The following is an 18,237-nucleotide window of genomic DNA, read 5'->3' on the forward strand; positions in this document are numbered from 1 at the left end:
AATTGCTAGGTTAAATAGTACACTATATTTAATCATTTGAGAAACTGCCAGAGTGTTTTCCAAACCTGCTACACCATTATACATTCCCATCAGCAGTGTATGAAGGTCCTAATTTTTCCACATCCTCACTATCACTTATTAGTATCTGACCTTTTGATTATAGCCATCCTGGTGAATATGAAGTGATTCCTCATTGTGATTTTTGTTTGCATTTCTCTAATGACTAATGATGTTGAGGATCTTTTCATTTTTACTTATGTTTTATTAGAGTTAACAACTGCCTTGATTGAAAGAAAAGTTCTTAATTTATGTAACTGTTACTCTTTTCCTCCAGTGCTACTGAATACCTGTCACATGCCTATGAATAATTTTTCCAAATGCAAAGGCATAATAACAATCAGAGTCAGTTCCTTTGCCCTGCTAGCATTCCTCCTTTCACCCTTCTCTGTTGTCTTTAGGTCTGATTGCTTTTTGCGTACCCACCCTCATAGCTGTCATACTAAGACTTCGCTTCTTTTATTCTGTTGAACTGGCCTATTTCATAGATTCCTCAACCTCCAGAAAATAAAATGTGTATGAAAGTAAAATTTTTTAAAACTACTTTTGTGTCCAGAAAGTTATTCTACTCTCACACTTGTTGCTTATTTTGCATGACATAGACTCCTAGGTTGAAAATAGTTTTCTCCCTGCTTCTACTCCCCTCCCTCAAATTTTGGTGGCATCACCGCGTTCTCTTTTGACATCTCATGTTGCTATTGAGGAATCCAGTTCCATTTTAAATCTAGATCCTGTGTCTTCAGCCTGCATTTTTTGGTCTCTGGAAACTTCTAGAATGTTCATTTTATATCTGGCACTCTAAAGCAAAGGTCGGCAAACTTTTTCTGTAAAGGGAAATAGTGTAAATGTTTTAGGCTTTGTGGGCTATACGGTCTTTGTCCTAACTTCTCAACTCTGCCTTTATAGCATGAAAGAAGCCTAGACAGTTGTAAACAAATGATTGTGACTGTGTTCCAATAAACTATTTACAAAACCAGGCAAGAGGGCGGATTTGGCCCATGGGCCATCGTTTGCAGACCCCTGTGCTAAAGTTTCATAATGCTGTGCCTTGCTGTGGGTTATTTAAATTCACCATGCTAGGTTCTTTGTGGGCTTTCAGTAGATCTGTCTCTTTCAATTTAGGGAATATTTATTTTCATATATCCTCAATAATTTCCTTTCCAACATTTTATGTGTTTGCTTTTTGTAAAACTCCTATTAGTTATTTGGCCTCTTGGGTTGTTCATCATCTCTTAAAATCTTTTGTATTTATTTGTTTGTTATACTTTCTAAAGGATTTTCTCAATTTTATTTTCAACAGAGTTAAATTTACGTAGATTTTGAACCAGTATTCCTAGCTGGGGACAAACTTCACTCATCTCCCTCTTCTTTCAACAGCACCAGGTACCTCCAAGTCTGAAGCCCTACAGGCCACATGGTTTGGTGACTCCTTGTTTTATCTCTCTGCCCGCACAATTCTGCTAAGTCAGTTACAATTCCTCCACCAGTTTTCCATATTCCAAAAATTTATTTTCATCTTTCGCCTGTTGTTGTGTCCTTTCCAATTCTTTTGTCATCTTTATTTATTTACTGTTATTTTAGCAGACATTTGGGAGAGAAAATATGGTGTTCAACCTGCCATGTTAACTGGAAGTTAGCACTATTTATTCTCTTTAATTTCTATTTTTCTATCCTGATCCAGTTCCCAATCTTGTTATAACTCATTCTGGTTATGAGGCACACTTTTCAGAGACTGACACTTTTTATTTCCTAGTGTAAATAAGACACTGGTCAGAATTATAAAAAAGACACGAGATTTGTGTTCTAGAGGCCCAGGGTCTAGTTCTGGATTTAGTGACCCTTTCTGCAAGTACAAATGTCAGAATTTTTTTTTAGGGAAGAGATTCCGTGCTCACTGACTGCCTTCTGGTTGCCAAACACAATAATAACAGCTCTCTCCATCCCTATTTTTGTTTTTTAATTTTTCAGTAACAGCTCATTTTTCATTCTCTGTTGAAGTAAACATAGTCTAACCTATTTGCTTAGAGATACAGCACAGAAATATTTTATTTTATACATTTTGACATTCATATTTGGAAACAGTTTTATGAGAGAACATAGAGTTAACATGATATAAAGATCTGGCCTTGAAATATCATGTGTGGTATTAAAAATGTATTCTCTAAGGTGTGATTGCAGTTCAGGCTTTTTTTTTTTTTGTGGTGGAGAATGGAGATGAGGTGAAATGAATGGGAAATAATTTTTGAATAGTTATTAATTCTATATCAGTTTTAATGTTTTATTTTGCACTGGGATGATCTCTAAGTGGAGAATTATGCATTTTGGGGGCAGTGGGGTGAGTAGCGCACGTGCTACATATTTCTTTTCAGTTCTGCTCATGACCATAGGATTATAAGGCTGGAAGGCGTCTTAAGGACTCTTTAGTCTTGTGTTTCACAAACTTCAGTGTGCCTAAGTCAGTTGTGCTATGTTGCATAATTCCAGAGGTCACTGAAGAATAGATCTGTGCAACTAAAAGCTGAGAAGTTTTTCATTGCAGATTCCTGAGCCTCAATCTCAGAGATTCTGATTCAATAGGACTAGGATGGGTTTAGGGATATGCGTTTATTACCGGTACCCCCTCCATTCCCACCCTTCCCCCTCACCCACATAACCACAGAGGATTCAGACACATTTTGACCAAAAACCACATTTTAGGAAACACTGATATGATGTGTCTTATTTACAGATGAGAGAGGTAAGGTCTTAGAAAGTTGAGTTGACTTGTCCCAGTTTGTTAGAGGGAGAGGTGGGAGTGAACCACGCATCTCATAACTCTGCTCAGTGATTTTTTTCCCATCAGAGCATACGCTATTATTTTAGTGTCTAGTTACATCATGAACTAAAGGTATGAACCACCAGTTTAAAGTGTCTTTATTTGTAGTAACTGCAGTTGTTTATAAGTGGTTTTCAGATGTTTAGGAATAGCCTCAGCTCTCAGTCACTCTGCAGCAGAGGAATGATCAGAGACATAGGGGAAGGAAAGCCCCAACCCTTACGCCCCTCGTGTAACCTGCTGGAACACAGCTTCTGTGTGTTTTTTCTTCAAGTCATCATGCCCCTGGAAGATTAACAGATACTTGTTTAGAAAACCATCCAAAGCCTTGTAGTATAGTTTGAAGTCAGGTTGTGTGATTCCTCCAGCTTTGTTCTTTTGGCTTAGGATTGACTTGGCAATGCGGGCTCTTTTTTGGTTCCATATGAACTTTAAAGTAGTTTTTTCCAATTCTGTGAAGAAAGTCGTTGGTAGCTTGATGGGGATGGCATTGAATCTGTAAATTACCTTGGGCAGTATGGCCATTTTCACGATATTGATTCTTCCTACCCATGAGCATGGAATGTTCTTCCATTTGTTTGTATCCTCTTTTATTTCCTTGAGCAGTGGTTTGTAGTTCTCCTTGAAGAGGTCCTTCACATCCCTTGTAAGTTGGATTCCTAGGTATTTTATTCTCTTTGAAGCAATTGTGAATGGGAGTTCACTCATGATTTGGCTCTCTGTTTGTCTGTTGTTGGTGTATAAGAATGCTTGTGATTTTTGTACATTGATTTTGTATCCTGAGACTTTGCTGAAGGAGATTTTGGGCTGAGACAATGGGGTTTTCTAGATATACAATCATGTCGTCTGCAAACAGGGACAATTTGACTTCCTCTTTTCCTAATTGAATACCCTTTATTTCCTTCTCCTGCCTAATTGCCCTGGCCAGAACTTCCAACACTATGTTGAATAGGAGTGGTGAGAGAGGGCATCCCTGTCTTGTGCCAGTTTTCAAAGGGAATGCTTCCAGTTTTTGCCCATTCAGTATGATATTGGCTGTGGGTTTGTCATAGATAGCTCTTATTATTTTGAGATACGTCCCATCAACACCTAATTTATTGAGAGTTTTTAGCATGAAGGGTTGTTGAATTTTGTCAAAGGCTTTTTCTGCATCTATTGAGATAATCATGTGGTTTTTGTCATTGGTTCTGTTTATATGCTGGATCACATTTATTGATTTACGTATATTGAACCAGCCTTGCATCCCAGGGATGAAGCCCACTTGATCATGGTGGATAAGCTTTTTGATGTGCTGCTGGATTCGGTTTGCCAGTATTTTATTGAGGATTTTTGCATCAATGTTCATCAAGGATATTGGTCTAAAATTCTCTTTTTTGGTTGTGTCTCTGCCCGGCTTTGGTATCAGAATGATGCTGGCCTCATAAAATGAGTTTGGGAGGATTCCCTCTTTTTCTATTGATTGGAATAGTTTCAGAAGGAATGGTACCAGTTCCTCCTTGTACCTCTGGTAGAATTAGGCTGTGAATCCATCTGGTCCTGGACTCTTTTTGGTTGGTAAACTATTGATTATTGCCACAATTTCAGCTCCCGTTATTGGTCTATTCAGAGATTCAACTTCTTCCTGGTTTAGTCTTGGGAGAGTGTATGTGTCGAGGAATTTATCCATTTCGTCTAGATTTTCTAGTTTATTTGCGTAGAGGTGTTTGCAGTATTCTCTGATGGTAGTTTGTATTTCTGTGGGATCGGTGGTGATATCCAAAACAGCATGGTACTGGTACCAAAACAGAGATATAGATCAATGGAACAGAACAGAGCCCTCAGAAATAACGCCGCATACCTACAACTATCTGATCTTTGACAAACCTGAGAAAAACAAGCAATGGGGAAAGGATTCCCTATTTAATAAATGGTGCTGGGAAAACTGGCTAGCCATATGTAGGAAGCTGAAACTGGATCCCTTCCTTACACCTTATACAAAAATCAACTCAAGATGGATTAAAGATTTAAACGTTAGACCTAAAACCATAAAAACCCTAGAAGAAAACCTAGGCATTACCATTCAGGACATAGGCATGGGCAAGGACTTCATGTCCAAAACACCAAAAGCAATGGCAACAAAAGACAAAATTGACAAATGGGATCTAATTAAACTAAAGAGCTTCTGCACAGCAAAAGAAACTACCATCAGAGTGAACAGGCAACCTACAAAATGGGAGAAAATTTTCGCAACCCACTCATCTGACAAAGGGCTAATATCCAGAATCTACAATGAACTCAAACAAATTTACAAGAAAAAAACAAACAACCCCATCAAAAAGTGGGCGAAGGACATGAACAGACACTTCTCAAAAGAAGACATTTATGCAGCCAAAAAACACATGAAAAAATGCTCATCATCACTGGCCATCAGAGAAATGCAAATCAAAACCACTATGAGATACCATCTCACACCAGTTAGAATGGCAATCATTAAAAAGTCAGGAAACAACAGGTGCTGAAGAGGATGTGGAGAAATAGGAACACTTTTACACTGTTAGTGGGACTGTAAACTAGTTCAACCATTGTGGAAGTCAGTGTGGCGATTCCTCAGGGATCTAGAACTAGAAATACCATTTGACCCAGCCATCCCATTACTGAGTATATACCCATATGACTATAAATCATGCTGCTATAAAGACACATGCACACGTATGTTTATTGCGGCATTATTCACAATAGCAAAGACTTGGAACCAACCCAAATGTCCAACAATGATAGACTGGATTAAGAAAATGTGGCACATATACACCATGGAATACTATGCAGCCATAAAAAATGATGAGTTCATGTCCTTTGTAGGGACATGGATGACATTGGAAATCATCATTCTCAGTAAACTATCGCAAGAACAAAAAACCAAACACCGCATATTCTCACTCATAGGTGGGAATTGAACAATGAGATCACATGGACACAGGAAGGGGAATATCACACTCTGGGGACTGTGGTGGGGTGGGGGGAGGGGGGAGGGATAGCATTGGGAGATATACCTAATGCTAGATGACGAGTTAGTGGGTGCAGCGCACCAGCATGGCGCATGTATACGTATGTAACTAACCTGCACAATGTGCACATGTACCCTAAAACTTAAAGTATAATTAAAAAAAAAAAGAAAACCATCCAAAGCATCCAGCAACCTGACACTTGACGAAATGGAGAATACGTGCTGCTCAATACCTTCTCTCCCCAAGCGCAATGTAGCAATTGTTGCTACATTCTTGGAGGAAAGGAAGGAAATGTTTCATGTGCCTATTATTTAGGATGTTCTCCCCATTTCTACCACAAACCAGCCAAACAAAATACCTGCAGATACGCTCCACTGACTCATGCGGTCTGTGATGTCTACTGCATATGGAAAGGAAAGAAGTTTTCTTTATTGTTAATAATCATTGTCATACTGCTTGTACGTTTTATGAAGAATGACTATTGTGATGTTTCTTTCAGACATCACCTGCAGAGAAATAAAGGTTGTTTATTATTAAAGAGTGCTTATTTATTGGTATAAGATGAAATTCAAATTCTCAGTTTCGAATGCTAATTTTAAAACTCTGTATTATTTAGGATGGACTAGATCATGCTGTAATAGCAAATAACCCCCAAAACACGATGGTTTAACACCACCAAGGTTTATTTCACCACTCGGCCACATCACCAGTGTGGATCGTCAGGAACGCTTGGCTCACTGGGCGTACTCAGGAATCCATGCTGACGGCAGCTCCATCTCAACCCGCATTTCCATAGCCACCCAGGAAGGAGGAGGAGAGTGCTGCTCTAAATAAATACTTCCACTCAGAGGTGACACAGGACACAATGATTTTTTACTTCATTGTAGAACTAATAGATTCACTTTGGCAATCTCCTGCCAATGGTTAAAACAAGAGGTGCTTTTGCTCACATACTATTGGCCAATCAAATTCAAGAGGATTGTAAGTGTAATGTTATCATGAATCCAGAATATCCCCTTTCTTGTTTTGGTTTCCACCAATGAGCTTTTCCAAGCTTTCAGATTTCCAAGGTGTGGTCTAGATGTTTAAGTTTTCTGACTGTGTGTGTCTATGTGTACAGAGATTCTCCGACATTACAGTGAAACCACTTATAATTTTCTTTATCTTACCCATTAAAATTATTTTAAAACTTATGGTAGAATATATATAACACAATTGACCATCATGACCACTTTTAAGTTTACATTTCAGTAGTGTGAAGTACATTTATGTTGTTGTACAACCATCATTACCATCCGTCTCCAGAGCTCTTTTCAACTTGCAAAACTGAAAGTCTATAGCCACGAACAACTCCTCGTTCTTTTCTTCCCCTATCCCCTGGCAACCACCATACTATGTTCTGTTTATGATTTTGACTGCTCTAGGTACCTTACATAAGTTGGAATCACACAGTATTTGGTTTTATTTTGTGACTGGCTTATTTCACTTAAACATAATGTCCACAGGGCTTATCCATATCGTAGCATATATCAGAATTTCCTTCCTTTTTGGGGCTAAATAATATTCCACTGCATGAATGTATATGTACATGTGTATGTACACATACATGTATACATAAATGCACACATACATATACACATATATGTACATGTACATATATACATATGTGCATATACATGCACACATATACGTACATATATACATATGTATGTGTATATACATGTATACATATATGTACATATATACATATACATGCATGCAGTGGAATATTTTATATAAATGTATATTGATATATAAATTATATATATATGGCCCTCTGTATCTATGGGACCTGCATCTGTGAATTCAAGCAACTTCAGATCAAAATATCTAAAAACAATAAAAAACAGATGGTTGCATCTGTACTGAATATGTACAGACTTTTTTCCTTGTCATTACTCCCTAAACAATACTGTATAACAACATATTTACATAGCTTTTACATTGTATTAGGTATTATAAGTAATTTAGAGATGATTTAAAGTATTTCAGAGGATATGTGTAAATTATGCCAATATTACACAATATAAGGGACTTGAGCATCTGTGGATTTTTGTGTTCCTGGGGTGTCCTGGAGTGAATCCCCCATGGATACTAAGAACAGCTGTATATATACTACATTTTATTTACTCATGCATTCATTAGTGGACACTTGAGTTGCTTTCACTTTTTGGCTGTTGTGAATAATGTTGCTATGAAATTGATGTTCCATTTTGCTTTATGTGTGGTTCTTTTTCTTTTCTTTTCTTTCTTTCTTTTTTTTTTTTTTTTTGAGACAGGGTCTTGCTCTGTCGCCCAGGCTGGAGTGCATTGGTACTATCAGGACTCACTGCAGCCTCGACTTCCTGGGCTCAGGTGATTCTCCCACCTTAGCCTCCCAAGTAGCTGGGACTACAGGGATACGCCAACCAGGCCCAGCTAATGTTTTTGTGTTTTTAGTAGAGACAGGGTTTTCACCATGTTGCTCAGGCTGGTCTCAAACTCCCTGCTTCAAGCGATCTACCTGCCTCAGCTTCCCAAAGTGCTGGGATTACAGATGTTAGCCACTGAACCTAGTTCTTTTTCTGTATACAAGAAAAGCAGCACCTGCCTCTTGAGACTTCTAGTTTACTATTTTGGGAGATCCAGGAAACAGTTCTTTTTGAACTCAAGGTAGAGCTAATAGTTTCACATTGGAAATCAGCCAATGGTTAAAACAAAACCTGAGCAATACTCCTCTGACTTCTTCCACCTTTAGCCAAATCAACAGAGCCAAGGAGGATTCTTGTGTTTAGTCTTGTATGTAACCTGCAAATATTGACATTTTTCAAGATAGGGGACAATATGTTGCTAGGACATTATTTTTCCTCAACAATCCAGGAGCATGACAAAAAGAAATTATGTGTTCTGTCAGGCATGGTGGCTCACACCTGTAATCCCAGTACTTTGGGAGGCTGAGGAGGGAGGATTGCTTGAGGCCAGGAGTTCAAGACGAGCCTGGGTGACAGAGCAAGATCCTATCTCTAACAAGAACAAGCAAATAAATTATATATTTTTTGTGCATCTGACCCATACTATGTGAAAGGAGGTCAAATGTGAATCAGTATTTAAAATGCAAACTAATTGCACACATGGCATGGTGTGTGGAGCAACAGACAAGGTAGAATTTTAGAAAGGGTGCTGAAAGAAAAGGCAGTAGACCAGGAAACTCTGCTTACCACTGCCTGCTAATTACACGACTATGGACAAAACAGTTATGTAGACTTCCTGAGTGCATGTGTGGGTGTGTGTGTGTGTATGCTGTGTTTGAGTTGGTAGAAGGAAAGGCTTGGATTACATGATCTAGTGGGTTAATGCCAATTAACCATAATTTTAAAACGATGAAGAATAGGGGTTTCTAACCTTTTTAAATATAAAAACTTTTAAAACACAAACATATTAATAGCTCCTCTTCAGATTTTTGAGAAACAGAAATTGTACCATGGCACTTCCCTGCTTAAAGGCTTCAGTGATTTCCTGCCGCCTTTACATCAGTATTTCTCAGCCTTTTCGTTATCACCTCCCAAAAAAGCTTTTTTAGACATTTTATCCTAATCCACTCCCCCACCCCCATGAAATCTTAACACAATAAATGTACTGTAAGACCTCTTCTTTCGTATCCCTAAGAACCAATTTTTCACCCCTTTGGGGGCATTATTGCCCCCATTGAGAATGCATGCTTCCGAATAAGCTGGAAAACCCTTATTATGAATATCAAGGCCTTGCCTGATCCAGCCCCTGCCTAGCTCCCCAGGTTCCCTCACTCCTCTTCCTCCCTTCTATCCTCCTCCTCTTCCCCTCACTCAGCTCCCTTCTACCCAGGTGTCCTGCCCTTCTTTTCTTTCAGTTCCCCAAGGGCACCAAGCGTTCTTACTTAAGGGACTTTGCACAATTTGTTTTCTTTGCCTGGAGGTCTCTTTCCTTTATTTTGAATTAATTACTTTATGTTCATCTGTCTGGCCTGCAGCTTAAGTATCACTTCCCCAGAAAGTCCTGACCCTGGACTTCCTTCTGTGTTAGATGGCTTCTGTCATTATTTCTCACAATGCCCATTTTCTTTCTAGCACTTGTTTGCATTTTCTTTCATACACTTCTTTGCATTTTTGTTATACGTCTGCCATCCCCAGTACATTGTACACATGAGGCCAGGGATGGACTCACTCTGCACTCTATATATGTCACATCTAGTTCAGTGCCTGGCATTGTTGAAAAAAGGATTAATGAAATATTTTTGAGAAAATATGCAGTGAATAAAACTGTCTTGGGATTGGTTTTACAGTGAATGTATACATTATTAATTACAGCAGCACCTATGTTCGTATGTTATTTAAAGAAATATTAGCTACTATAGTAGAAAAATCCTGAAATCTCAGAGTTTTAACAAAATTTCTCGGTCACATAAAGTCCAATTGGCAGGGCTGAAGTGGGGGTAGGTGCTCTTCAAGCACCTGGTTTGATGGAGTCATCCACCTGGTTTGACTGGTTTGATGGAGTCTCTGCCGTCTTTAACACATAGCTTCCAAGGTCACCCTGGTGCCTGTATCTGGATGACATATGGGGGAAGGGAATGTTGAGAATTGCACGGGTAAGTTTTCTTGGGGGTAGTCCTGGGAGTGGAATGCATCACTTCTGCCCACGTCTACTTTTTGTATTCTTAACTAGGCTCAAATCTGGTAGGGTTCCATTCCCTCTTGTCCCTCCACAAGAAATCAGTTTCATGGTCATACCTCCCAGCAAGGGAGGCTGGGAGGATAGCTGTGAGCTTAGGAGGTCACACAAACTGGTCTCTGGCACATTGTGCTTGGAGAGTCATAAATATATGTGCAAGTGTGTGGCTGATGTCTGGATACATATGGATTCACAAATGACTTTCAAGAATATAGAAACCCTAAAGAATTCCAAGACCCAGAGGGTGGAAACCGCTAAAAATAGGAGTGTGAGTTTTGTTTGTGGAGAAGTTTTTGCCTGCTTCATCATTTTCAACATTGTAAGGTAAGATATGGTGGAGTGGGGTTGAGGGGAACCAGTTAGAAATGCACTATGTGCATCTTGACTGAACAAAGCTATTTGTTGCCCTACAGTAGTGAATCTTCCCAGGCTCTTGTGTAGCTGTATTCATAATATGCGCTGATTAGTATCTTGTCAGCTGAATGGAAGCCCAGGTGGGGTTCTGGTTGGACTGCTGGCGGCATTGTCCTTAATAAAATGGGGCCTTTCAACCAATGTGCTATTTTCGTTCCCACATCACCTGATAAGTCCTAGTCTTTTGATGAACTACAAATAAAAACCAGTTCTCCATCTCATGGGGCTATTAATCAAATAGTATCTGTTTAAACAGAAAAAAAGACCTATTGCATGTCCCGTTCATAATACAACAAGGCAATTGTAACCGAGCTACGACATCATGATACTGCACTTTTATCTGAGCCAAAGCTTACCTGGCCATCCTTCAGATTTGCCATTCTTCCCGACTCCACAGGATAGGAGCAGAAATTCGAGCCCGGGTGCTGCTTTTGTGCACAGTTTGTGGCCTCTCTCTTAACTCCGTTCCTTAGCAGAAAGAAAGAATTCAGTCTGGTGGGTGAGGTGGGCTGCTGAATTCTTTCTATTTCAATTGTATTGAGGAGCTTTCGAGATTTTCCATTTTTGTTTTCTTTCATCATCCATCTAAGTGTAAAAGCTAGCTGTCATTTGGAAAAGTTGGGAGGAGACGGCATTTAGAGACAAACTACAACCTTCAAATAGAAAAATGTACATTTAAACTCTAAAATTTCAAAGAAGTTAGTTTGCAAATTGGTTGTTTTTCAAGAAATGTAAGTATTTTCCACATCGTGCCTCTTTCAGCTGTCTTTTTTTTCCTTTTGCATAAGGTGCAGTCTCAGATCAGTGTTGTCCTGTTTTCTGTTTCTGATGAAGCTTTAAAGTGTTTGATTGACATTTATCAGAAAGTTGTGGCAGCTGTGAACACTCGTCCAAAAGCAGATGAGGGAGGTCATGGTGGCATCCTTCTTGGTTCTTTAATAGGATTAGCAAGGAGGTTTATGCTGAAACTCCATCACGGGTCAGAGCTAGACAATGATGGAGCTCCCAAATCCATGGATCTGTCATTTGGCAAAATCCTTACAGCAGTGCTGATTGGCAACAAGATGGTGAATAATCATCTTCCCCTGTGTATTTTCAAAAACTGCCTCATTTAGAGCAAGACCGCAATGTAGAGGCTGTGTGGAAATGGCTCAATGGGACCCCTGCTGTTTGGAGAATTTGAGTTCAAATCCACCTGTGCACAGGTTTGGATATCTTTGTGTTTGGCAACATGCCATTTCCTGCCAGATTTTGTTGTGGGTCTTCCCCCCAAGTAGAGGATCTCTGTTCAGAGGAATGCTAATTGGGTGGGATTTCGGGAGCCTCTCAGCCAACCATGGGCTCAAGCAGTGCTCCTTTCTTGCAGCTGTACTTGATTCTGTTTTTAGCTGCCACTGTTAATGAGTCAAAAGCCACATCTGTTGAGACCTGGGTTGGCAATTCCAGGGCGGTTGGCCACCTTTCCATCAATTTCTCCAAGAGGGTCCCGGGTATGGAGCAGATAAAGCTGAATGTAGGGTGTTTGGTTCTGTGAGGCTGTTTCGAGGAGGAAAAAAGGGAGAAATGATTGAATTTGCCATTGAGTGGCTAGCCAGTACATTTTATATCTCTTATGCTTTTTTGTCCTGGTTGCTTTTATTTCAATTAGAAAGTCTTAGTGGTAAACTCATTTTTCGTTGAAGGCGCAGTAGAGCTATCTCTCTGAATTTTGAAGACTTTTCCTATAGAATCATTAGTTTCTTGGGTGATTTCTGAAGCTGAGACTTTGGAAAAGATGACAGGAATAAACTTCCACTAAGTTTATCTCATTCATTTCTAAATCTTTTCTGTGTGTTGGGTGGGGATAAATATATTCCCTTTAGTGCAGGCTATCCTGGAAAATATTTTCATTTTGAATACAGTGATCTAAGTAATCTGCTTATTACAATAGACTATTCTCCATGTTGTCCTTTTTTGAAACAAATAAAAGTCAATTGCAAGCACTTTGGAATTTCTTCAGGAATCCATAATCTAGATAGCTCCTCTTCTATCATGACCAGATATATGATTATTTCTTCATATTTTAGGACTCATTTCTTCAAGTGGTTTCGACTTCCTATTATCTGGATTTGATCCATCACTTATGTCAGATCAACTAAGCCTGGTCCATCATGGTTACAAAGTGCCCAGCCTGGCACCATGCATGGTAGGTACTGCTTAGATTAAGTTGTATGTGTTTCTTTTCGGTGCTGTAATAAATTGCCACAAATCAAGTGGCTTAAAACAAGAAAAAATTATTTTCAGAAATCCAAAATAAAGGTTTCAGCAGATGCCATGCTCCCTACCGTGGCCCTGGGGAAGGATCTGTTCCTTGCTGCTTCTGGGTTCTGGTAGCTTTCAGCATTCTTTAGTCTTCCTTGGCTTGTGGCTATATCACTCCACTCTCTGCTTCTGCCTTTATAGCACCTTCTCCTCTGTATGGGTCAAATCGGTCTCTGCATCTCTCTTGTGATGGCATTTGGGAACTCACCGGGATAATCCAAGATAATCTCCTCATCTGAAATTCCTTAACTTACCTATTCAGAGACCGTTTTTCCAGAGATAGGGCAGGGCATATTTTTGGGAGTCTCATCAGTCTACCACACCCATGGATGGATTCTGCATAATATTGTGGTCAGTCATTGGATCTTCATCTAGGCACTTGTATTAGTCCATTCTCACAGTGCTATAAAGAAATGCCCAAGACTGAGTAATTTATAAAGAAGAGAGGTTTAGTTGGCTCACAGTTCTGCAGGAACTATAGGAAGCATGGCTGGGGAGGCCTCAGGAAACTTACAATCATGGCAAAAGTCGAAGAGAAAGCGGGCTCATCTTACATGGCTGGAACAGGAGGAAGACAGAGAAAGGGGAGGTGCTACACATTTTTAAACAACCAGATTTCGTGAGAACTCACTATCATGAGAACAGCAAGGGAGAAATCCACCCTCATGATCCAGTCGCCTCCCACCAGGCCCCTCTTTGAACAATGGGGATTACAATTTGACCAGAGATTTTGGTGGGGACACAAATCCAAACTGCATCAACACTCAACCTCAAAGATACTTGTTTCTGTTCTATTTTTGGTGGGCTGTTTGGTTCAAATCACTTCTGTTTTAATATCCTCTTCTTGTTGTTTCTTTTGTCTTTACGGTATTAACTTATCTGCTGCACAAATGGCTCTCACTGCAGTGGGAATGACTTTGATATTGGCAGTCTGTGTCATTAATACTGAATTTTACATGTTGTTTGGGACTGAGGACAAGGCACTATCACCATTGAAACTAATCAAGAAGCTGTATGTGGTGTCCAAAGTGGGATTATTGTGCATACATAGGTAAGATGGCATCAAAGTCTTGTTGTCAACAATAAGGTAATTCCCCCATAAACTCAGCTTCTGGCATTTTACTCTCTAAGCTTTATTCCTGTCTTTAAATTCACTTCCTCTAGAATTTCCAGTTTCATAATTCTTCAAATCTCTGGGACCTACAAGCCATATTACTTCCACCTTTTTATGACCTTACTTCCCTCCTTGGCTAGCTAAAATGCTTTGTCAAAGTGTTATAATAACTTTCTCAACTTCCTGCTCTCTCTTTGGTGCACTCACTTGTTTAAGCCTTAACGCAGTTTAATTCTACCTGTGCAGATAAATGGCTTGATTTTGATTCATGACCACTGTCCTCAAGTGGGTTTGCATGCTGCTCAACAATGATACCAAATTTCCCAAAGTCCATCCATTCTCCCACTTCCTTGGATGAATATTTTGTAGCTTTTCTTTCATCAGACCTGCCGCATTTCTTTCCCTATCCCTCATAGCTTCTTATTTCATGGAGAAAATAGCAGCTATCAGACAAAAAGTCAAATTTTCCCCACCTACCTGCATGTAGTTCATGTATTCTGACATATCTCCAGTTGTGATGGATAAACTACCCATTTCCCCCACAAAGACCCGTCATTCTACTTGGCGCCCCAGACTCCATCCCCATTTGCCTATTCAAGGATATTCTTCTAGTAATTCTTCCCCTCTTTCTGCATCCTATTTCCTTTAAAAAAAAAAAAAAAAAAACTTCTGTATTGGACCTTCCCCTTTAAACATATAGTTATTCCATCTTAAAAGCCTTCTAGGTATTATTTGCCCCTTCAGTTATCTCTTGTATATTATGGTTATTTTCTATTTATCTTCTTTTATTATCTCTTGAATGGATTGTAGTCAAACTTTCACAGTATTACTCCTCAGAAACTGTTTTTTCAAGGCCATCAGCAGCCTTCATATTATTAATATTACCAAATCCAGTGGACAGCTCTCCATCCTCATTTCACTTGACTTACCACTTTAACACACACAGTCATGCCCTCTTCCTGGAAGTCTTTGATTGTGCGGCCTCCAGAACCCCACACCCTCCTTTCCTCCTGCCTTATGGGTTGTCCCTTCTGTCTCCCATGTTCCCCCGGCACCAGTTCTTGGACACTTTCATTTTTTTCCACACCTACTCCTTGGTGTAACTTACTTTCACTCAGTATCACAGCTTGAAATACTATTTAGACTGATTATCTAGATTTGTATCTGTAGCTTGGAAGTTGCCTAGACTCTAACCTCATGCATTCACTATCTATTTAGCATTTCTACATGAATATTTAACAGGCCTCTTACCATGGCTAAAACTGAGTTCCTGTTTCTCCTGCTCCCACTCCCCCAAAAGCAAAATAAAACAACATGCTTCTCCCAAAGCCATTGCCAATGATCATTGACAGGGAACTTAGTTCTTTTATTTGCTCAGGTCAAAAACGTAGTTGTTCTTGACTCCTCTATTTCTCTCACACCCCTTGCCTGATTTACTATTAATAGCAATACCTCTAGCTGTTCTATCTGTAGGTGCAGATGGACCATCTTGATTCAAATGATCTACATCTTGCCTGGATTATTAGAAAAGTGCTTTACACTGGTCTCAACTTCTGCTTTTATCTACCTTCAGTCTCGTCTCAGTAGAGCATGCAGGTGATCCTATTAAACATGACTCAGGTTATGCTACTCCTGCTTAACGCCCTCCAGTGCTTCCCATCTTCCACATGGCTTATAAGGCCTGATTTATCTAGCCATCTCTCCGATCCTCTCACCTACCAGTTTCTCCTTACTTACTATTCTCTAGCTTCACTGGTCTTTGCTGTTCTTCTAACATTGCCAAGTGTGCTTCTACCTCAAGGCTTTGTATTTAGCATTTAGCTCTTAGAAAACAAAACAAAAATAATATCTTCATTTGCTCTCATTTCTGCTCCCCTGATTTGGGGCCAACTGTGCATGTGTATGTAATTTTTATTCTAAGTGTAATTTCCTTGCTATTTACTGGTGCCTTATGTCATTTTACAGACTTATTATGTATCTCCTTTGCAACTTCACATAATAATTGAAATTCTTGTTTACTTATGCTTTAAAAAAAATCACTGTAGTCCATTTTTAAATTATGACTCTTTTGTCTCTACCTGCTAGGCACCATTGAGGTAGAAGATTGCATTACCCCTAACATCAGTGAAAGATTACTGGTGACAGGGGCCATAGTTATGACCAAGTTCTCTCTCATCCCCAGAAACTCTGAGAGAAGAAACACAGGCTGGGTGACCTCAGGCGAGTCTAGTAGCCTTCGTTTCCCTTCCGTAAAGGCAGGAGGTTGAACCAGTTGATCTCTGAGGTCCTTTCCAGCTCTAACAATCTGTGAATGTGGGCAGGGCTGCCGCTCAGGCCATAAATACCTGCTGGATTATATCGTGGTCTCTCCCTTTTCCTACCTGCTGTTTGCCAGCTTTCATGTTAAATTTTCCCACCACACAGGAATACCAGAGGCAAGAGGCTTACAGCAGGTACCACCCCTGCTTGCTGCCAAATATCTCCCCAACCTCGCCACCGCCTGCATGGATGGGCTTTTGCCAGAAATTGGCCTGCTTTACTCCCCTTCCACAAATAAACTTTAAAGTACTCCCTTGAAGAGTGAGAAGCTGCCAGTGGTACAGGCAGTGAGTTTTATAATTATTTTTTGATATTTTCCATGTGGCTTTTGGTCTGAGGGTAGCATGTTTGGGTTGGGTTGTTGGAGGGGTTTCCCATGGACATGGTTTTGTACCTGCCAGCCATGCAGGATGCAGCATGGTGGGTGAGATCCTTGCTCCACTGGCCCTCCGCTAGCCAGTGTGTGATTGCTTTCTCTGCAGCCCTAACTGTTGTCAACCTGTCTGCTGTTGTTGGTGCCTCATCCATGGTTGCTGCAGAGAGCCTCAGACTACTCAGCTTAGAAACATTAGAAACAATAAGCTGTTTTTTGAAAGCATCTTCTCTAAAATGATGCTGCAGATAGTGATGAAGGATAATCGGAACAGCACATTGCGGTGGGCCCTGCTCAATGTTGGCCTGATCATTCATCCTCACAATAGCCATTTCAGGGGAGGCTTTATCTGCATTTTTGGAAGGAGGGTGACTGAGATCTTGATCAGCAATCAGTACAGAGTTGAACTAAATTGGAATGAAGACCTTTCTGCCTTCACTGCACACGTTCTCTCTGCGGCTCCACACTGCCTCTCAATATAGCCAGTGCTAGACTTAGATCCCTGAAGGGCAACTAGATTTGGATAGTTGATCAGAAGCCCAGATCTAATTCTATAACATTGTTTCTATGGGAAAAAAAATGGATTCCTACTTTTAAACACACTTATAAACTTTGGTAATATTAACCCTTTTTAGATGGAGGGGAGACTTGCTATGCTTGTTGATTTAAATTCCTAAAATCTTGTTGATTTAAATTCCTTAAATACTAAGACAGTGAGGTTAGTTGAGAATTGGCCTACTGTGCACTGCTGGCCATATATTATGTTTCCTCATCTCTCTCTTGCTTAAAATAAACAATAAAACACTCCTCTACCAACAGCAACAAAACATACAACTAGAAATTAGGAAATGAGGAAGACTCTAATGCTTCCTTTTAAAACACATGGATCTTGAGGTTTGAATCAAAATAATGGTGTTTTACAATTCATGTTTGTTTAATTGTGACATGGTACACCTGCTTGCTCTTAAGAAGAGAAGTAACAGAAGTATGAGGAGGGGGGAAGGTGATGTGGACACCCAATAACTCTTCTCCAGTGATATCCTGATGAGTTAAGCATAAATGAATCAGAAACAGATGGATTTTTTTCCCCCTTGAAATACACGTGGGTTTAAAAACCAAGGGAAAATATGCTTGG

General features: G+C 39.8%; 1 protein-coding gene across 7 annotated transcripts in view; it reads left to right on the forward strand.

Annotated features, from left to right (window-relative positions):
- ADAMTSL1 (ADAMTS like 1) overlaps nt 1-18,237 on the forward strand; it is a 1,004,318-nt gene that overhangs the window by 13,213 nt on the left and 972,868 nt on the right. For 4 of the 7 annotated variants that reach the window (XM_011518063.3, XM_017015311.2, XM_017015314.2 and 1 more), the window contains exon 2: nt 13,062-13,180. The exons of 2 other annotated variants lie outside the window; for them this stretch is intronic. In XM_011518063.3, the coding sequence (XP_011516365.1) occupies nt 13,062-13,180 (119 nt within the window). Of the gene's footprint in view, nt 1-10,596; nt 13,181-18,237 lie in introns of those variants that run through there. One more of the 7 variants, XM_047424072.1, reaches the window with a different exon arrangement.

Source organism: Homo sapiens, chromosome 9 (genome assembly GCF_000001405.40).
Source record: "Homo sapiens chromosome 9, GRCh38.p14 Primary Assembly".
Lineage (NCBI taxonomy): Eukaryota > Metazoa > Chordata > Mammalia > Primates > Hominidae > Homo > Homo sapiens.